Source organism: Homo sapiens, chromosome 1 (assembly GCF_000001405.40).
Source record: "Homo sapiens chromosome 1, GRCh38.p14 Primary Assembly".
NCBI lineage: Eukaryota > Metazoa > Chordata > Mammalia > Primates > Hominidae > Homo > Homo sapiens.
The window spans coordinates 185828617-185846715 of record NC_000001.11 but is presented as its reverse complement, the minus strand read 5'-3'; the positions used below and the strand labels follow the sequence as shown (position 1 = coordinate 185846715).

Sequence of the window (18099 nt, the reverse complement as noted above, 5' to 3'; positions counted from 1 at the left end):
TGAGTATAACAGAGGCAGAGACCATAGAAGGTAGTACAGTGAAACAGCCTCGGAAAAGCCAATTTTTTAAATGAATAAATTCAGCACCAGAAGAAGATGCATTGCAACTTTACCTCTAAGTTCTGTTTTCAGAATAACATTTAAACCAATGTGATTCATCTTCTCTAATAACCAAGTTATATGTACAGTCAAACATTTCATATGGCTGACTTATAGCAGCATAGAATATCAAAATTACCTTAGTTATGCCATTAATTTTATGGGAAAAGAATTATTAACCGTTCCTTATATTTCTAAGCAAAAAGACTTATGTAGAGCAGGGGTCAGCAAACTTTTTCCTTAAAGGGACCAATCTGCCACAACTACTCAACTCTGCCGTGATAGTGTAAACCAGCCATAGGTAGTAACTAACTGGTGATATTTCAAACCCCATCTGTCCTATTTCTGTATGTATTGTTCAATTCATTCCAGACTCAGGTTGAGGGCTGGGGGATGTGGCAATTATTGGGTCCCTTAAAAAGCCAACAACTATGTCTTTTAGATTTAAAAAATAAAGAAAATCAGCCAAAGGCTCATGATTTTCCATTCCCCCAAGAGAACACTGAAAGCAAGCACTCACCTGAACATACAGTTCTCTGAGTTCATATTGAAATTTCTTGGGATCTGTGGTAATTGTCACTGGGCCAATTTCTGTGAAGATAAAAATAACATAGGTCAATAAACAGTAATCAATGGCATTAAAGACTTTCTTGTGTTTATAGATGTCTTTTCACCTTGCAGTACATGGTTACTTATTAATAAGAAATAGTAAAATACCAAACACTCTTTCTCAATTTGTAGCTACCAGAGAATAACTTATAATTTACTGTAAAGTATGCATATCTAAAAGAGTGAATTTTTAACCATAAGAAATGCAAGGAGGAGTAAAATAGTCACAGGACAAAGAATCAGGAGAGCACAGTTCCAGTTCTTTCTTATTCTCGTCAGTAAATATTTATTAAGCACCACTTTGTTAGAATTTAGATGAATCACTTATTCGTCTATAATTCAGTCTGCCCAACTTTAAAGTGTAAATTTGTTTGCAACTTTTCTGTAAGTCTTAACTCATTCAAAATAAAAAGTTTGGTGCTAAACAAAATAGAAAAAAGTGAACATTCACTGCCTATCCCATAGGTTTTTAAGAATTTAGAGATGTGGCCAGATGCGGTGGCTCACGCCTGTAATCTCAGCACTTTGGGAGTCCAAGGCGGGCAGATCATTTGAGGTCAGGAGTTCGAGACCAGCCTGACCAACATGGTGAAACCCCGTCTCTACTAAAAGATACAAAAAAATTAGCCAGGCATGGTGGCACATGCCTGTAGTCCCAGCTACTCAGGAGGCTGAGACAGGAGAATTGCTTGAACCCAGGAGGTGGAGGTTGCAGTGAGCCGAGTTCATGCCACTGCACTACAGCCTGGGAGACAGCGAGACTCCATCTCAAAAAAAAAGAAAAGAAAGAAAAAGAATTTGGAGATGTATAGTTGCAAGGACATTAACAGTGCAGGAAATAGTCCCTATAACTTTTTTTCTCATGGCTGGGGTGGCTGAGCCTGGCTATCGCCATTCTCCTAAGCTGGCTTTGACCATAACTACCTTCAGGGCTGTGGCCATCCTCACAACCGCCCAGATGTACTACACAAAATCACTTCTTCCAACAGGAAAAGGTGGGGCCACTGCCTTCCCTGGAGAGCCAAGACTTAGATCATAAGTCAGGTGAATAAAAGGATCCCAGATATCATGGGTTAACTTGGAAATCTGTATATACATATATATTTGTATTTTTGGTTGGATCCAGCATGTCTATAGTAAATATTTCAATCCCCAGAGCTTCTTCTCTTTAAAAAATAAATCAACTCTTAAAATAGATAAACTAAAAGTGGCCATTTATGGGTATCAATTATTTCCCCAGAGAGAATCCATGTATTTAAGTAATGGTATTAAAATTCATCTGGGTACCATGTGCTTAGATATATCATCTTAAATTCTCATGGTGGATGAAAAGCTTCTTATCTTATGTAATGATGATATAGACTCATTCGAAACTATAACGTGCAACTACAATGCAAAATTATAAAGATACTTAACATTTAGCTTTTACAAAATGTTTTCTAGCTTTAAAGACATACTGCTCAAAAAGAGCTTATAACTCCAAAGAATAATAATTAATTAGCCAAACCTTCCATAACAAGCTACATATGGTACAAAAACAGACTGTAGTATTTTAAAAATAAATGAGACAAATTGGAAAGGAGGTACAATTTGTCTGCCATAACCCATGTACTTTTTCTTAGAAATAACAGGAAAAAATGCCTCAATCCTTCACTATAGATTAGACACTTTGCAGTTTGAAAAAGGAGTGGAGAAGCAATTGGAGAAACTGTGAAAATGCAAACATCTGCATTCCATACAAAGCAGAACCGTCATTAACCATGTCCCAAGTATATGGAAAATGGGAGAAGCCTACTCCCTCAAGACTAAACAAAGGCATACTTTGCAAAGGAATGCAAAACAGCAAAGAATATGCCAGGCAGTTACACCCTGACATATAAATTGTCAGTAGCATTGTCAAGCCAAGCTTCTATGTTCCCACATTGCATAATACTGAAATAATCCAAGAATTTAAAACTCAAGAAGTAGAAAGAAATACAAAGAATACTAGAAAAAAACAATTATATCATAATAAAGAGTGTAAACATGCAAGGACATTCCCTATAGTAATAAAAAATATCTCTGAATATATGCCTGCTCTTCAAGAGTGGGGATCAAGGGATGCTATTAAAATAAGAGGACCGATAAGCCTTCATTTCAATTAACCAGACACTCTCAAATATACACCTGTTTTCAACAAAGATAGGAAATCTTTCTTAAAGCTCATTAATAAACATTTTTGCAAGCCACAACTGGACAGCTGAGATAAATCTTTATCAGTTATGAGAAATACTCAGGAGAGGTAATAGCTTGCCCAGCTGCCCTATCCCTCCAGCTGTAAGCATCTTTTCCAATTCATTTTAATTGAATGATATGACTATTTGGCAAAATCAGCCCTCCTCCCTTTCAGAACTTGCTTCCATTCCAGTCTTTCTTTTCACATAACAGAGCCCTGTGCCAGCTGTGTCATTAGCAATTTCCTCTTTTCTTCCTTTTCACTCATGCTGGTTTCATCCCCTGCCAAGCCTTTGATGACATTCAGCAGGTACAACTTTGTCCTCTCTTCCTGCCTGAACATGGTCTCCAGTGCTTATAGAATTAAATGGGAACTCTCAAAGGTAATCCAGGCGCTCACTACAAACTTCAAACTTTGAAGCTATTGCACTTCCTTACCATTCCCATCACTGTCCCCCTTTTCTTTCTCCTGCCGACGTACCTGTCAGTCTATAAGGCCTGATTTAAACCTTATCTTTGTTAATGTTTTGCCTTTTCTCTAATTTGCTTTACTGTCGTCCTGATAACATTGTTATAACAGAAAGTGGGATGAATAAAGCTGCATATTTAACAAAATGCAGAGATCATTCCTACGTTATTCAGTTTATTTTATCTAGTTGTTTACAAAGAAAACTCACCCATAAAAAAGAAAATAACCATCAATCTCAAATATAAGTATAGAGCTAGAAAGGGCATTAAAGATTGTTTGGTTCAATCCCCTTATCCTACAGACAAGAAAACTTGAGGTCCAGAGACAATGAAATTGAAAAACTTTGGTAGTGAAGAAAGAGGTGAAGATAACTGCTAACGTATTTTATGCTGAGTGACCTATGCAGCTCGCTAACTTTCCCTGTTTTCCAATATCTCCATTCTGTGAAAGGAGAAGACTAACATCCTTCTCCTTTCCTCTGAACTATGGGCAGGATGAGCTTCTTTGGAGTCCAGAATTTTAATTTGATGCACACAGTACCCAGCATGCTTTGTTGTCACATGCCTAGATATTTTTAAAGTTTTTTTTTTTTTTAAGACAGGCTCTTGCTCTGTCACTCAGGCTGGAGTGCAGTGGCACTGTCATAGCTTACTGCGGCCTTGACCTCCCAAGGATCAAGTGATCCTCCTGCCTCGGCCTCCCAAGTAGCTGGGACCACAGGTATGAGCTACCATGCCCAGCCAATTTTTTTATTTTTTGTTGAGACAGGGTCTCATTATGTTGCCCAGGCTGCAGTGCAATGGCATGATCACAGCTCACTGCGGCCTCGACCTCCCAATGCTCAAGCAATCCTCCTGCCTCAGCCTCCCAAGTAGCTGCCACCACAGGTATAAGCCACCATGCCTGGCTAATTTTTTTCATATTTTTTGGAGACAGGGTCTCACTATGTTGCCCAGGCTGGCTGGGTGGATATTTTTTAATAGACTGAATATCCCTCTTGCCTTGTAAATACTATAATCAACCATACAAAGCAACTTCGCTAGAAAATTGCCTCTCAAATCTATTTAACAAAAATACGTTGAACACCTACTATTTGCAGTTGCCACTAGTAATATAAAGATGAATGAACATGGACCCTGTCCTCAAAGTCTCACCAGTCTAGTGAGATAAAAGTGTAGATACACAACTATAGTACTATGTAGTAAGGGCAGAAATAAAAGTGTGGAAAAGGTAGCGTAACAGCACTAATTGATACAGACTTTTTTTCCAGAAAGAACCAAGGGAGATTTCAAAAAGTATGTGAAAGTTCTGGATTTCAAATTGGTTAAAACAAAAGTTATTTATTCATACTGATTTCTTTTTAAGTTCTATATATCAAGTTCACAAGGTATTCACATCTTGTACCAAAAAGGTTATTACATATCACTACCTATATTTGCAAGAACTTTTATAATTCACAATACTCTAAAACACATGCTGATCCACTTGAAGCCTTATAACCACCTCATAGGGTAGGTAGGATAGACATAATTATATAGACAATAGAAGCTTAAGTGATTAGCCAAAGTGGCCCAGCCTCTTTAAGGGCTACCACAATACTAAGTGCCAGCAGCATGATAGCCAGCATCTACCATATGATACTATGATTGCCTGATTGCTTTAATCATACCTCACTTGACTGTCAGCACCTTGAGGGGATTAACTGCCTCAGTACACATTCAGATTTCCAGTAAGTGTTTGAATATAGGAGGAAGGAGGAGGAAAATAAAAAGAAAGAAGATTAAACCTAGGCCTTCAGATTCTTTATTTCTTGCTTTATCACTACATCACGGAGCCTCAATGCTATAGCTAAAGACCACGCTAAAGATCAGTGACGACACTGATTAATCAACGGAAACAATTTTCAGTTTCCTATGTAACCAAAATGGTTTATTCACTTTAATCAAGTAAAGTTGATACAGAAAACTGATACAATTTTTCATATATAACTTATTTTTTAAAAAACAGTAAGGCAACATGTATTATACAAAAATAAACAATTTTTTTGTGCTTCAGAAACCATTTTTTATTTTTAAAAAACTAATGTCTGAAACTCTAAGGAACTCTTTTCTCTTTTCAGTAATTTTATTATTTCCCATTTCCTAGTGATTTATCAGATGGGTTGGATTTATTTCCAGCATCTCAACCATTGTTCTCTTAATCTGACTTGCTGGGTTGTACTTAAGAAAATAATGGAAAAAAATTCACAATGTAATATTTTCTTTCACTGCTTCATTTGGCAAGATCAATATCCAGCCTCTCACTTCCTTTTTCCTTTCCACTTACAGATTTCTGCTACTTGTAGTTTTTCTTTACTCAAAGTGGTTCCTTGATAATGAGAGGAATATTTACTGCTGCCTTCTGGGGTCTAAACACTGCCTACACATAATTTAATAGCAATTTTCCCAATTTCTTTGTTCTTTTTAAAAATATATTGTTCTTAACTTTATATTGATAGTTATACATGAATAAATATATGAAAAGCTAAAACAAGAACCCCCTGAGCTGCATTATAAACTAATCAATATTTTCAAGGCATTATAGAAGAAGCTAAGAAATATATAAATCAGAGGCTCTACCACAGTTGAAAACTTAAAAAACAGCAAGCTATGGAAAGTTAAAAGAAAGCTAAACCAGCATCTGAGAAGAGCCAAGTAGTACAGATACATGAAGACAGTAAATTTTCTGTGTCCAAAGAGGATAGTGAGATCCATGAGCTGTAAGAAAATGCACCATGAAGGCATCCAGGGTATGAGTTGGGATATGAAGCGAACACCAAATTAATAGAGGGTGACAAAAGAACAAAGAAATCCTAGGCATTGGGAAGTGGCCTCCTCAAAATGCCATTCATGAGCTGAAAGTCAACATGTCCCTCCCACTTTCTAAAAATTCTACTCTTAGTCACTTAATATAAGACAAATCAATTATAATGTCCTTTATATGCAAAAATGTTAGTATAAATATACATATTCAAAGGATTGGGGATGTTTTCTGAATTAAAAAATTAATAAATTATGTTTTCTGCTTTAGGATACTGCAAAAAATCAGATTATTATATCTACTTTTACTGTTTTCAGTTTATCTACAATACATGCGTTCCATATTTCTCCATCCTTACTCATTTATAATGTTGCTGTCCAGCACCATTTTTAAATGATCTGCATCTAATCAACAAATGCAGAACTGTTTCCTGACTTTGAGCTGAGCTAATGTCAAGTATATTTCAGGACTCATTTAGTTGAGTACATTCCTATTCATATTAGAACAGGTAATTTTCAGGACCACTTAAAGGCCCTTATGATTGTTTTGACAATGAAGTGATGTATTTTGTGTATTTTATAAAATCAGTGATGAATTCATGCACAGCATATTATCTAATATGGCTTAAATAGCATTCTGTTCCACTTCCAAAGAGATTATCCACTTAACAATAAGGGGTATAACTTTAAATATATGCATTGAACAAAATTGCACATAGTATATGTATAATGCATGGATCATTTCACTTCATGTACTGCTGAATGAGATGTAGAAAAAATTGTTGACATAAATTCAGCAATGTTACACAGATATTTAGAACAAGAAGCAAAGAAGAACTCCTTAATAATGAACACAGGGCTTTGAGGTATATAGAGTAGGATGTTATTGCTTAGATGACTTTGGCCAGAGCAGCAGAAAGCCCTCTTGCAAAAAACAGTCATGGGATTTTTATGGCCAACAAAGTTCAGACTCTCAGCTTTACATGTAATCCTAAATGTAAGATGACATTTTTAACATTAAAATACATCTATGCACTGATAAGGCATAATCAGAGATACAAGAGAAGATACATTTTAAGTCATGCTATTTAATAAGATTTAATTAACAAGCTTTCCAACGTTCTCAAGGTACCCTGAAAGCAAACAAAAAGAAAATAAATACCATCTTCAAGAATATTTTTGAACTGAAATAATTCTTATTGGGATATGTGTTTTAAATTTTAGGATAAGAATACTGTAATTCATTTCAAAGTTTTAATTGCTCTTAGGCAATTCCTTAACATTAATATTTTTCAAAATAAATCTAGTCATTAGTTAGGGATAAAGAAAATAAAAATTATGAAGGAAGAGGTAAAATGTTGATGAAGAAGAGAAAAGTCTGCTTGCAAGTCCTTAGAAAGGAATCATTAAACATTGTTGAAATTTCCACATGTTGGGAGAATAGACCTAACTTCAGCTTTGATTGTTTCCACAACAACCAAACAAATGTATGCAGCACTTTGACTGTGTTTTCAGAGAAAACAAAACCATATTTATGAAGCAAACATTTTATTCACAAAATAGGGGAATCAGAGACACTGCTAAAAGTATGATAGATGTCTGTGTGTATATAATATGTGTATTCCCTAAATACTTGCTTCAATTCATTCAACAAACAGGCAGTATACATACTTAGCAGAGTTCAAATTGTCAGAAGTACAAGCAAACAAATACACTTAAAGAAAGGAATCTCAGCTACAAAAGTCAGAAATATCTGGGTGTGTCTTACAAATTTAAGAGCCAGATGCATGGATTTATGACAATGTCCTGCTCTCAACAGCTTTTCACCTTGGGGTCTAATGCTTTGCAGTCACTGTAGGGAAATATTTTTTTTCTTTTGGATTTGTGTTTTGTAAGTGAAGTTCAATGGGATGATTGACCTTGGCTCATGCATGTTCCCACCTCCCACCACCACAAGATTCTCTGCTACCTGCTCTCCCACTCCTAGATGCCCAGGCCCAACTCAGTAGCCCCATCTCTGCTCCTACAGGTTCCCCAATAGGAATCTGTATATGGGAACAAGAAAGGTTGAGACTGGGGGGTATAATGCCCAGCACCATCTTTGAGTGGGGCATGGAGGTGGCAAACCCCTCTCCAGGCTGGCAGCACCACAACACACTAGTAGAGGCCAGAGGCCAAGTCTCAGTGGGGCAAGCTTTACATGCACTTGCAACCCAGCTACCAAGCACACCTCAGCGCTGAGGCTTACAGATCCCTGGGGGTCGCCTGTCTGTCAAGAGTTGTGGTGGCTGGCCCATGGAAAGAGGGGATGTCTGCTTCAAATGGACCTGCCAAGAGCACAAAGCCTGGGGCTTGTGCTGGTGGGAAGGGGAATCTGGCAAACCAGGCTGCCTAGAGGTGAAGCACAACCTATATCGTGAGGAAGAACCTTCTGATGCCCACGTGGGTCTGTATTTGCCTAAGAAGTATCCAGATGCCCAGGGACCTCCCTCTCAGTCTCCATGCCTGGAGGATCTTCTCTTCTAGATGCCAGCTCTCTGAAGTCTGGCTTAATTTACTAGCAAGAGTTTTACTATCCCTCATTGTGTGCAATGCTAGTTTTAAAATGCAAATATCAGAGCATTTGACTGGTATGTAAATTCACTCAAATTACACAATTCCTGTTTCCTGTTTCCTGGCTGATCCCAGATGGTGCCTACAGCTAACCAGAAAAGACAAATACAAAGCAGATTAAGGAATATTAAAAGAGGAACCATTTACTGTATTATCCTAAAATAGTATGTTTGTTCCAGGTTTATCATGACATTGGGTTAAATAGTACTCTCTACTGAAAAATCTAAGAGTTTTTTTTCTTAATGAAGAGAGAAAAACCATGTTTATATAAAAGAATATATATCAGATCGATATAAAAATAACATTCTACTTTTCAAAGCAATATAAGAGATCACAAAGGAAAATACTGACAGAAATAAATATAGCAAAAATAAATAAAAATTAAAATCTGAAATACATAAATTTTTATGAACAATTAAAATAGATTAAAACCTATGATATCTGAAGAGATTGTTCAACTTCATAAGAAAAAAATAAAATACCAAACACTACATGAAAGGAAAACTCTAAAAAAAGATAGCAAAAAAACAACGGGAACAAAGCTCACATTTAGTCATAGTGAAAGAGATGCAAACTTCAGCAAATTTGAAGTATACTGTGTAAGAAAGAAAACTTTTTTGAAAGATTATTACTCAAACTAGTGTCATGATAAACCTGGAATATTTGTACTGTTGGTAAGATTGTGAATGGTTACAACATCTGTGAAATTTATTACAGTTACATGTATTACAAGTCTTAAACGTATTTTGTGATACATATATGTTCATCACAGCACTATTCACAATTGCCAAGACATGGAATCAACCTAAATGCCCATCAACAGTAGACTGGATAAAGAAAATGTGACACATATATATATATTTATATATATATTTTATATATACACACACACACACACACACACACACCATGGAATATACACCATAGAATACCATGCAGTCATAAAAAAGGACAAGATCATGTTTTTACAGCAACATGGATGGAGCTAGAGGCCATTAGCCTAAGCAAACTAACACAGGAACAGAAACCAAGTACTGAATGTTCTCACTTACAAGTGGGAGCTAAACATTGAATACATATGGACACCAAGAAGGTAAGAATAGACACCAGGTCTACTTGAAGGTGGAGGGTGGGAAGAGGGTGAGGTTTGAAAAACTACCTGTTGGGTACTATGCTTATCACCCGGGTGATGAAATAATCTGTACACCCACTACATGCCATTTACCTAAAAACAAACCTGCACATGTACCCCTGAACCTAAAATAAAGGTCTAAACAAAAGTACCTTATGATAAAGTCATTTCGCTCTTTGTTATAATTCACTGGAAATAAAAGGACACGAACATTTTTAGAATATCAATAAAGTCAAAATGGAGAAATGGTTAAAAACATATAATTCTCTAAATAATATTAGGAATCAACTAAATTATTGTTCCATGGAGAAAAATAAGCCAATGTTTATTATATAATAAATAAAAAGGCAAAACACAGAATTGTATATATAATTAATTGCAATTATTTGCAAAGACACATGTGCATAAGGACAAGTGCTGAAAGGTAACACCAGAGTAAAAATTAATGTTTGGAACAAATAGAATGAGTATTTTCTATTTTTCAAAATTTTCAACTTATTGTACTGTTTTATAATCTAAGAAAAAAAAGAGGAATTTCACCTGATCACATACAAGCTTCATGTTGTGTTCATGCATTTTGGCTGTGTGGTTATTAATTTGCTTATAATGGTCACTGGAAAAAGAGCACAGAAATATTTCTGAGCATTAGGCAAGATAACAAGGAAAGCATTAATTTAAGACATTATCTGTTAATGTTGTGAGGTGAAATATTTTAAGTATTTCGAGTCTAATCAAAACAGTCATTGTCAGGATATGGTATTCTTTTTCAATCCTCTCACTTCAAGCTTTCGTCTCTTTTAAGTGCACAAGTCTTAGCAATGTCATCTTCCTACTGTTAGTCTTTATTGAATATACAAAGAATTCCTTTTCATTGAGTGAAATGAAACACTGTTCAGACTTCTAACACTGAAATCTACCACAGCCCAATTTTGGTTCTTTTTTTCTGTATATTATTTATATTTTCTATATATACTGTTGCAATTATGTATGCCTATTTATGTACAAATGTCTGTCTTGCTTTTTTCTCTTCATAGAAGAAATATTTAAAATATGAAATATCCAATATAATTGTAAATACTGAAAATAATACTGGATCATCAGTGTAAATGCCCATTTTAAATTTAAATACTTCTAATATGAAGAAGTTCAGAGTCTTCACTTTAGTTGGTAACTAAAAGCATCCTAGATTTAGAAATTATCCTAGTCTCTGTAAGGTCAATGAAGTTAATTATTTTGTTCCAGTCTGAATCTTCTCCAAAGGCATTTCAGCCCAAGACAGAATACATACATCATGCTGATACTTGATAATAGGAAAGCATCCACATTTGAGCCATCCCACCCCCTCCCCTTACAAGTCACCAATGCACTGCGGCAATTGAAGAGAGAGGCATGTGTCTCTACACAAATACCAATGAGCTGTGGCACATATCCAAAACTTTCCAAAAACTACAGAAGAGAAACAAGAGACATTCTGTGCCATTCTCTGGTATCACTGTGATCAGTGCACCCATACCAACTGATAGCACACACAGGGTTTCAATACCTCTGGCTCCCAATTCCCATGCTTCTCCTCTTCACTCTGAAGCACATTCTTCTTAACTGATTATTATCAAGTCTTCCTTTAAAACCTGAATTCTAAAAGGCAGAGATTGTTTCTTTGTTGTATGATCTGTACTCAAACCAAAATGCAGTAATTGACCTGTGTTTTACAGATATCCATTCATAACAATTAGCAGACACTGAAAGGGAGATGAAAATAATACTGTCGTCAAGTTATGTTATCTGTCACTGTTTCCAACATAATCTAGAAAAATGCCCATCTCTACATTTTTATTTATATTTTTTCTATATAAGAGGCTATTTTCCCCATTTACTTATCACATCTTACTTCAAGATTCAACTTGGGTCTCAATTTGTTTTGGGAAAGCCTCCTGAATGTCTCACTCTTCTGAATTAGAGCTCACTCAACTGATTTATCTTAAGGATATGTCTTAGCTGTCTGTTCAGTATTTATCAAATGTGGCAAGCATCCTCTAAAACGGCCTGCAATTATCCCCACATCCTGGTATTCATACTCTTGTGTAATCCCCTCCTCTTGGCTATAGGCTGGACGTAATGCCCTGCTTCTAAAAAAAGAATAGAGCAAAGATGATGAGATGTCACTACCAAGATTAAGTTATAAAGAGACCATAGTTTCTGTCTTGCATTCTTGCATACCCTCTCTTGCTCTCTGATGAAAACCAGTCATGTGAACCAGCCATGTGAGCTACCCTGTTACCCTATGGAGACCCATATAACAAGAAACTGAGGGCAGCCAACATGTACCTGAGGCCCTCAGTCCAATAGCTCAAGAGGAACTCAATCCTGCCAACAACCATGTGAGTAGCTTGGAAGTGGATCCTTTTTCAGTCAAGTTTTGCAAGGACCACAAGGTCCAATCAGTATTTTAATTATAGACTTGTAAGAGACTCTGAGCCAGAGGACCCAGCTCAGTAGTGCTAGGGCTCCTGGCCCATAAAAACTGGCAAATAATAAATGTTTATTTTATTAAATAGCACTAAGTTTTGGAATACTTTTTTATGCAACAGTAGATAGCTACATTCACTTATACATTCTCCCAAACTAGATTATAAACTACTCCGATGATAGCAACTGTGACATTTTGAATCTCCAGAACTTAGACAGTGACCCTCACTGTTTAATGACAGTGGAGTTATAGAAAGAGACAATTTTGAACAATATACAGAAATCACTACTTTAAAATAGTCACTATAGCAATTTATAAAGTGCAGTCTCTGTGTTCAAAAATCTGTAGTTTAATTTGCAAAACAGAAAATATAAGTGGGTTTATGTATATGTGTGTATAATAAGAAATGCACAGATACATAAATAACCAACTTTAGAAGAGGCTAACATTTAAGTAATAATTAAGGAAATGAAAAATGTGATATCTGAAGAAATTGGAAAAGAGTATGGCTGTCAGGAAAAAACAATTAAGAAAAAGAAAATACTAAGTAATATAAAATCCTTAAAATATTATAATTATGGTACTTAATCCTAAAAAGTATGAGAGAAATAATAGACATTAATAGAACTTTTGAAGTCATTCATATATTGTCTCTAATGCTGCCTATGAATCTCATCATGGTATTTAATCATAAAAATCAAAGAGACAGATAAAAGAATGAAGAAAATTCAAAGCAATTGAAATTGAGTTCAAAACTCTGAAGAAGTTATCAATGAAGACTCTGCCAAAAAATCAACTAAAAAAATGTAAGATCTTCACTGGCAAACACACTACTTCTGACACTTTTTTATAATTTTTAAGTCCCTGCTAGCTAATCATGCCCTGTACTTGAAGTTGACTATTTAAAGCCTAATTACACAGTTCACATTGTATATAGCCCAGTTACTTGGTAAATTTATATGATGTCTTCTTAATAATGTAAATGTCTGCCCATCTATACAGTTTAGTATAAAAAAGCTGAATATGTTTGATAGAAGTGATAAGGAACACTATTTAGAAGGTATTTTTCTGGTGGAGGAAGAGAACAACCTGGAATAGAATCGAACATTATCAGATGCCTCGTATTTGACAGCACTGTGCTTGGCACAACTGTGGAAGAAAAAGACATAATCCTTTTCTCCAATAAATTCACAATCTTAGAGAGAAAATGAAGAATAAAACAAGTAAAGCAAAGAGACAAAATAACAAGTTGAAATAAATGCTACTATAGAAATAAGAAGGCTATTAAGACAGAAATAATGAGAAGAGGGGGTGCTTACTGTAACAATGGAAGATATCTATTGAATTTCTCTTGTATAAAATGAATGTCTACAGTCTCCATCCACTTTTACTGGGTTGTTGGTTATTTTGTGCCAATTTGTAGAAGCTCTTTATAAATTAAGTAAATTAGATTTTGTCTGTAATGTAAGTTGCAAAAACTTTCCTCCAGTTTGAAGTTTCTTATAGCAATTTTGGCCATGCAGAAATAGCTTTCTTTTAGGTAGTAAGTAAACTTTATTAATCTTTTTCTTGTGGTCCTGATTTTTATCACAGTTGAGAAAGCCTTCTTCCCTCTAAAGTTGTATAGAATTCTCTCATGATGTCTTCAAGTATATTTATGGTTTATGATGTACATTTACATTTATGATGCATTTGGAATTTATCCTAGTCTAAGGCATAAGGTATGGAACCTCTTTTTTTCCAGATGGCTACCTAGTTGGCTTCTCGTTATTTATGGAAAAACCCATTTTTTCCATTGACATTACAAACCACTATGATTCACATATGTATTCTATATACTAATCCACTAATCTTTACCTTCATGCTCAGAACCAAATTGTCTTAATAATTGAGGCTTAATAATATGTTTTAATATCTAGTAAAACTAGTCCCACATCATTACTCCCCTTTTGCTAAATTTTTCTGGCCATTCATGCTTATTATTTTTCCATATCAACTTTATTTTTTTATTTTTTGTTTTTTTGAGAGAGTTTCACTGTCTCCCAGGCTGGAGTGCAGTGGTGTGATCTCGGCTTACTGCAGCCTCTGCCTCCCGGGTTCAAGCGATTCTCCCACATCAGCTCCCCAAGTAGCTGGGAATACAAGCATGCGCCACCACGCCCAGCTAATTTTTGTATTTTTAGTAGAGAGGGGGTTTCACCATGTTGGCCAGGCTGGTCTCGAACTTCCGACCTCAAGAGATCCACCTGCCTCAGCCTCCCAAAGTGCTGGAATTATAGGCGTGAGCCACCACGCCCGGCCATTATCAACTTTAGATCAGCCAATCTATATCCAAAAATATCCTGCCTGTACTTTTGTGGATGTCACATTAAATTTATACAATCAATTAGGAGAAACTGACAAGATGTTGAGGCTTTCTATAGTGTATCATTCCAATTATTGTAATATTTTGGGGGAAATCTTAGAAGGTTTTTTATTTCTTTTAAGGTTTTATTTTTTTCCCGTATATGTTTGCACATTTCTTGGTAAACTTATGGCTAGTTATTTTATCTTTCTTGTAGATGTTTTGAATTGGGGTATTTCTTCTATTATACGTTCTGAATGGTTGTATTTTTGTATATATAAAAGCTATTGATTTTTAAATATTTTTTCATTCACTACTCTACTGAATTTTTTACTGTTTCTAAGACTTTTCAGCTTTTCAGATACACAATCATAGAAACTGTAAATGTTTTTCTACTTTTATATCTCTAATTTCTTTCTTTTATCTAATTGCATTGGCTAGTACTCCTGAACAATGCTTAATGTAATGATAGTGGAATTACTGTTTTGTTCCTAAAATTATCAAGTGCTTCTAGTGTTTCCCCGCTAAGGATGATACTGGATTTGAGATTGAAACAGATACATTTTATCAGGTTATGAAAATATATATCTATTCCCTGTTAATAGATTTGGGGTTTTTATTTAAATTAAATCAAGCCTTAACACTAATTTTGTTAAATGCCTTTTATATATATTAATATAATCATGTGTTCTTCCCTTAGATATGTTAATAATTTCCTTTGATTGACCTATCATCATGCCCCTGAAATAAACACCTTTAATCAGGATGTTTATTCTTTTAACATGTGCTAAATTGTTTGGCAACATTTTACGTAGGATTTTTATAATTATTTGCATGAACATGAATATGAAAGATCTAAAGTTTTCTTTGAAAATGTTATTAAATTTTGATGTCAATATCATGCTCACATCATTTACCTGTTCCCTGAAAGAGTTTAAATGTTATTAATGTTATCAAGTTTTTGAAGTTTTGGTTCAATTCCCTTATAAAATCATCAGGGCTTTGTGCTTTTGATGATAGTGGGGGCATAGATTTATGTTTTGTTTTTTTCAGTTAATATAGCCACTATTTTTTTTTTCTTTTGAATTGGAGTCTTGCTCTGTCACCCAGGCTGGAGTGCAGTGGCATGATCTCAGTTCGCTGCAACCTCCACCTCCCCAGCTCAATAGATCCTTCCACCTCAGCCTCCTCAGTAGCTCAGACTACAGGCACACACCACCACGCCTGGCTAATTTTTGTATTTTTTTGTAGAGACAGGGTCTTGCCATGTGACCCAGTGTGGTCTCGAACTCCTGGGCTCAAGTGATCTGCCCAGCCTCCCAAAGTGCTGGGGTTACACAAAACAGCATGGTAGTGGTACCAAAACAGACATATAGACCAATGGAGCAGAACAGAGATAACACCACACATCTACAACCATCTGCTCTTCTGCAAGCCTGACAAGAACAAGCAATGTGGAAAGGATCTCCTATTCAGTAAATGGTGCTGGGAAAACTGCCTAGCCATATGCAGAAAACTGAAATTGAACCCCTTCCTTACACCTTATACAAAAATTAACTCAAGATGGATTAAAAACTTCGATGTAAAACCCAAAACCATAAAAACCCTAGAAGAAAACCTAGGCAAAACCATTCAGGACATACGGCACGGGCAAAGCCTTCATGACAAAAACGCCAAAAGCAATTGCAACTAAAGCCAAAATTGACACATGATATCTAATTAAACTAAAGAGCTTCTGCAAAGCAAAAGAAACTATCATCAGAGTGAACAGGTAATCTACAGAATGAGAGAAAATTTTTGCAATCTACCCATCTGACAAAGGTCTAATATCCAGGATTTACAAGGAACTTAAACATATTTACAAGAAAAAAACAAACAACTCTATCAAAAAGTGGGCAAAGGATATGAATAGACACTTCTCCAAAGAAGACATTTATGCAGCCAAAAAATACATGAAAAAAAGCTCAACATCACTAATCATCAGATAAATGCAAATCAAAACCACAATGAGATACCATCTCACACCAGTCAGAATGGTGATTATTAAAAAGTCAGGAAACAATAGATTCTGGCAAGGCTGTGGAGAAATAGGAATGCTTTTACACTGTTGGTGGGAGTGTTCAATCACTGTGGAAGACAGTATGGTGATTCTTCAAGGATCTAGAACCAGAAATACCATTTGACCCAGCAATCCCATTACTGAGTAGATACCCAACGGATTATAAATCATTCTACTATACACATGCACATACATGTTTATTGCAGCACTATTTACAATAACAAATACATGGAATCAACCCAAATGCCCACCAATGATAGACTGGATAAAGAAAATGTGGCACATATACACCATGGAATACTATGCAGCCATAAAAAGGAATGAGATCATGTCCTTTGCAGGGACATGGATGAAGCTACAAGCCATCATCCTTAGCAAACTAACACAGGAATAGAAAACCAAACACCGAATTTTCTCATTCATAAGTGGGAGTTGAACATTGAGAACAAATGGACACAGAGGGGGGAATGACACACCCCACAGCCTGTTGGGGGGTAAGGGGTGAGGGGAGCGAACTTAGAGGACAGACAGGTCAATAGGTGCAGCAAACCACCATGGCGCATGTATACCATATAACAAACCTGCACGTTCTGTACACGTATCCCCCTTTTATTTTTTTTAGAAAAAAAAAATGAAACAAAGTACTGGGGTTACAGGTGTGAGCCACCATGCCCAGGCTTCAATTGTATTTTCTGTATGCTTTGGAGTCTTTTAGAAAATCATCTCTCTCAAGAAATTTAACCATCTTATTCAATTTTTCAAATTGTTCACCTTGAGTTTAGTAAACAAAATCTTTTATGACTAAATTTTCAGCATTTCAAGATAGTTTCCCTATGATCCTTTTTTACATGGTGTATTTGTGTACTGTACATTTTATTTTATTAACTAATAGTTTAGTTTCCCAAAGAAGAAGTACTTCTTTTTATCTCTAATTCATCTATTTCTGCTTTATTACTTCATTTTGCTTTGCATAGGTTAATTTTGTTGTTTTCTTCTTACTTCCTAATTCACTACTCAGAGTACTAAGGGTATACTTTTCTTCTGAGAGTTTTATCTATATCCCATAGATTCTGATATGTCATGTTTATATTACCTTTGTTTTCTAAATTTTAGAAAATTTAGGTTGGGTTTCCTGTTTGACATGAGTTTAAGAGAGATTTTTAAATTTGATGAAGTTTTTAAAAAATTTACCTCCCTTGTTATTAATTTCTAGTTTTATTTCATTGTGATGAGTGCACTTTTCCTTGTGGTGCTGTATAGGATTGACTCTTGTTAACACTCCATGGCTACTTGAA

At 35.5% G+C, this 18099-nt stretch overlaps 1 protein-coding gene across 4 annotated transcripts in view; it reads right to left on the bottom strand.

The window, feature by feature from the left end:
- The window catches only part of HMCN1 (hemicentin 1), a 456559-nt gene that overhangs the window by 344234 nt on the left and 94226 nt on the right, over positions 1-18099 (bottom strand). For all 4 annotated transcript variants that reach the window (NM_031935.3, XM_011510038.4, XM_024450118.2 and 1 more), the window contains exon 2: positions 620-690. In NM_031935.3, the coding sequence (NP_114141.2) occupies positions 620-690 (71 nt within the window). The remainder of the gene's footprint in view (positions 1-619; positions 691-18099) is intronic.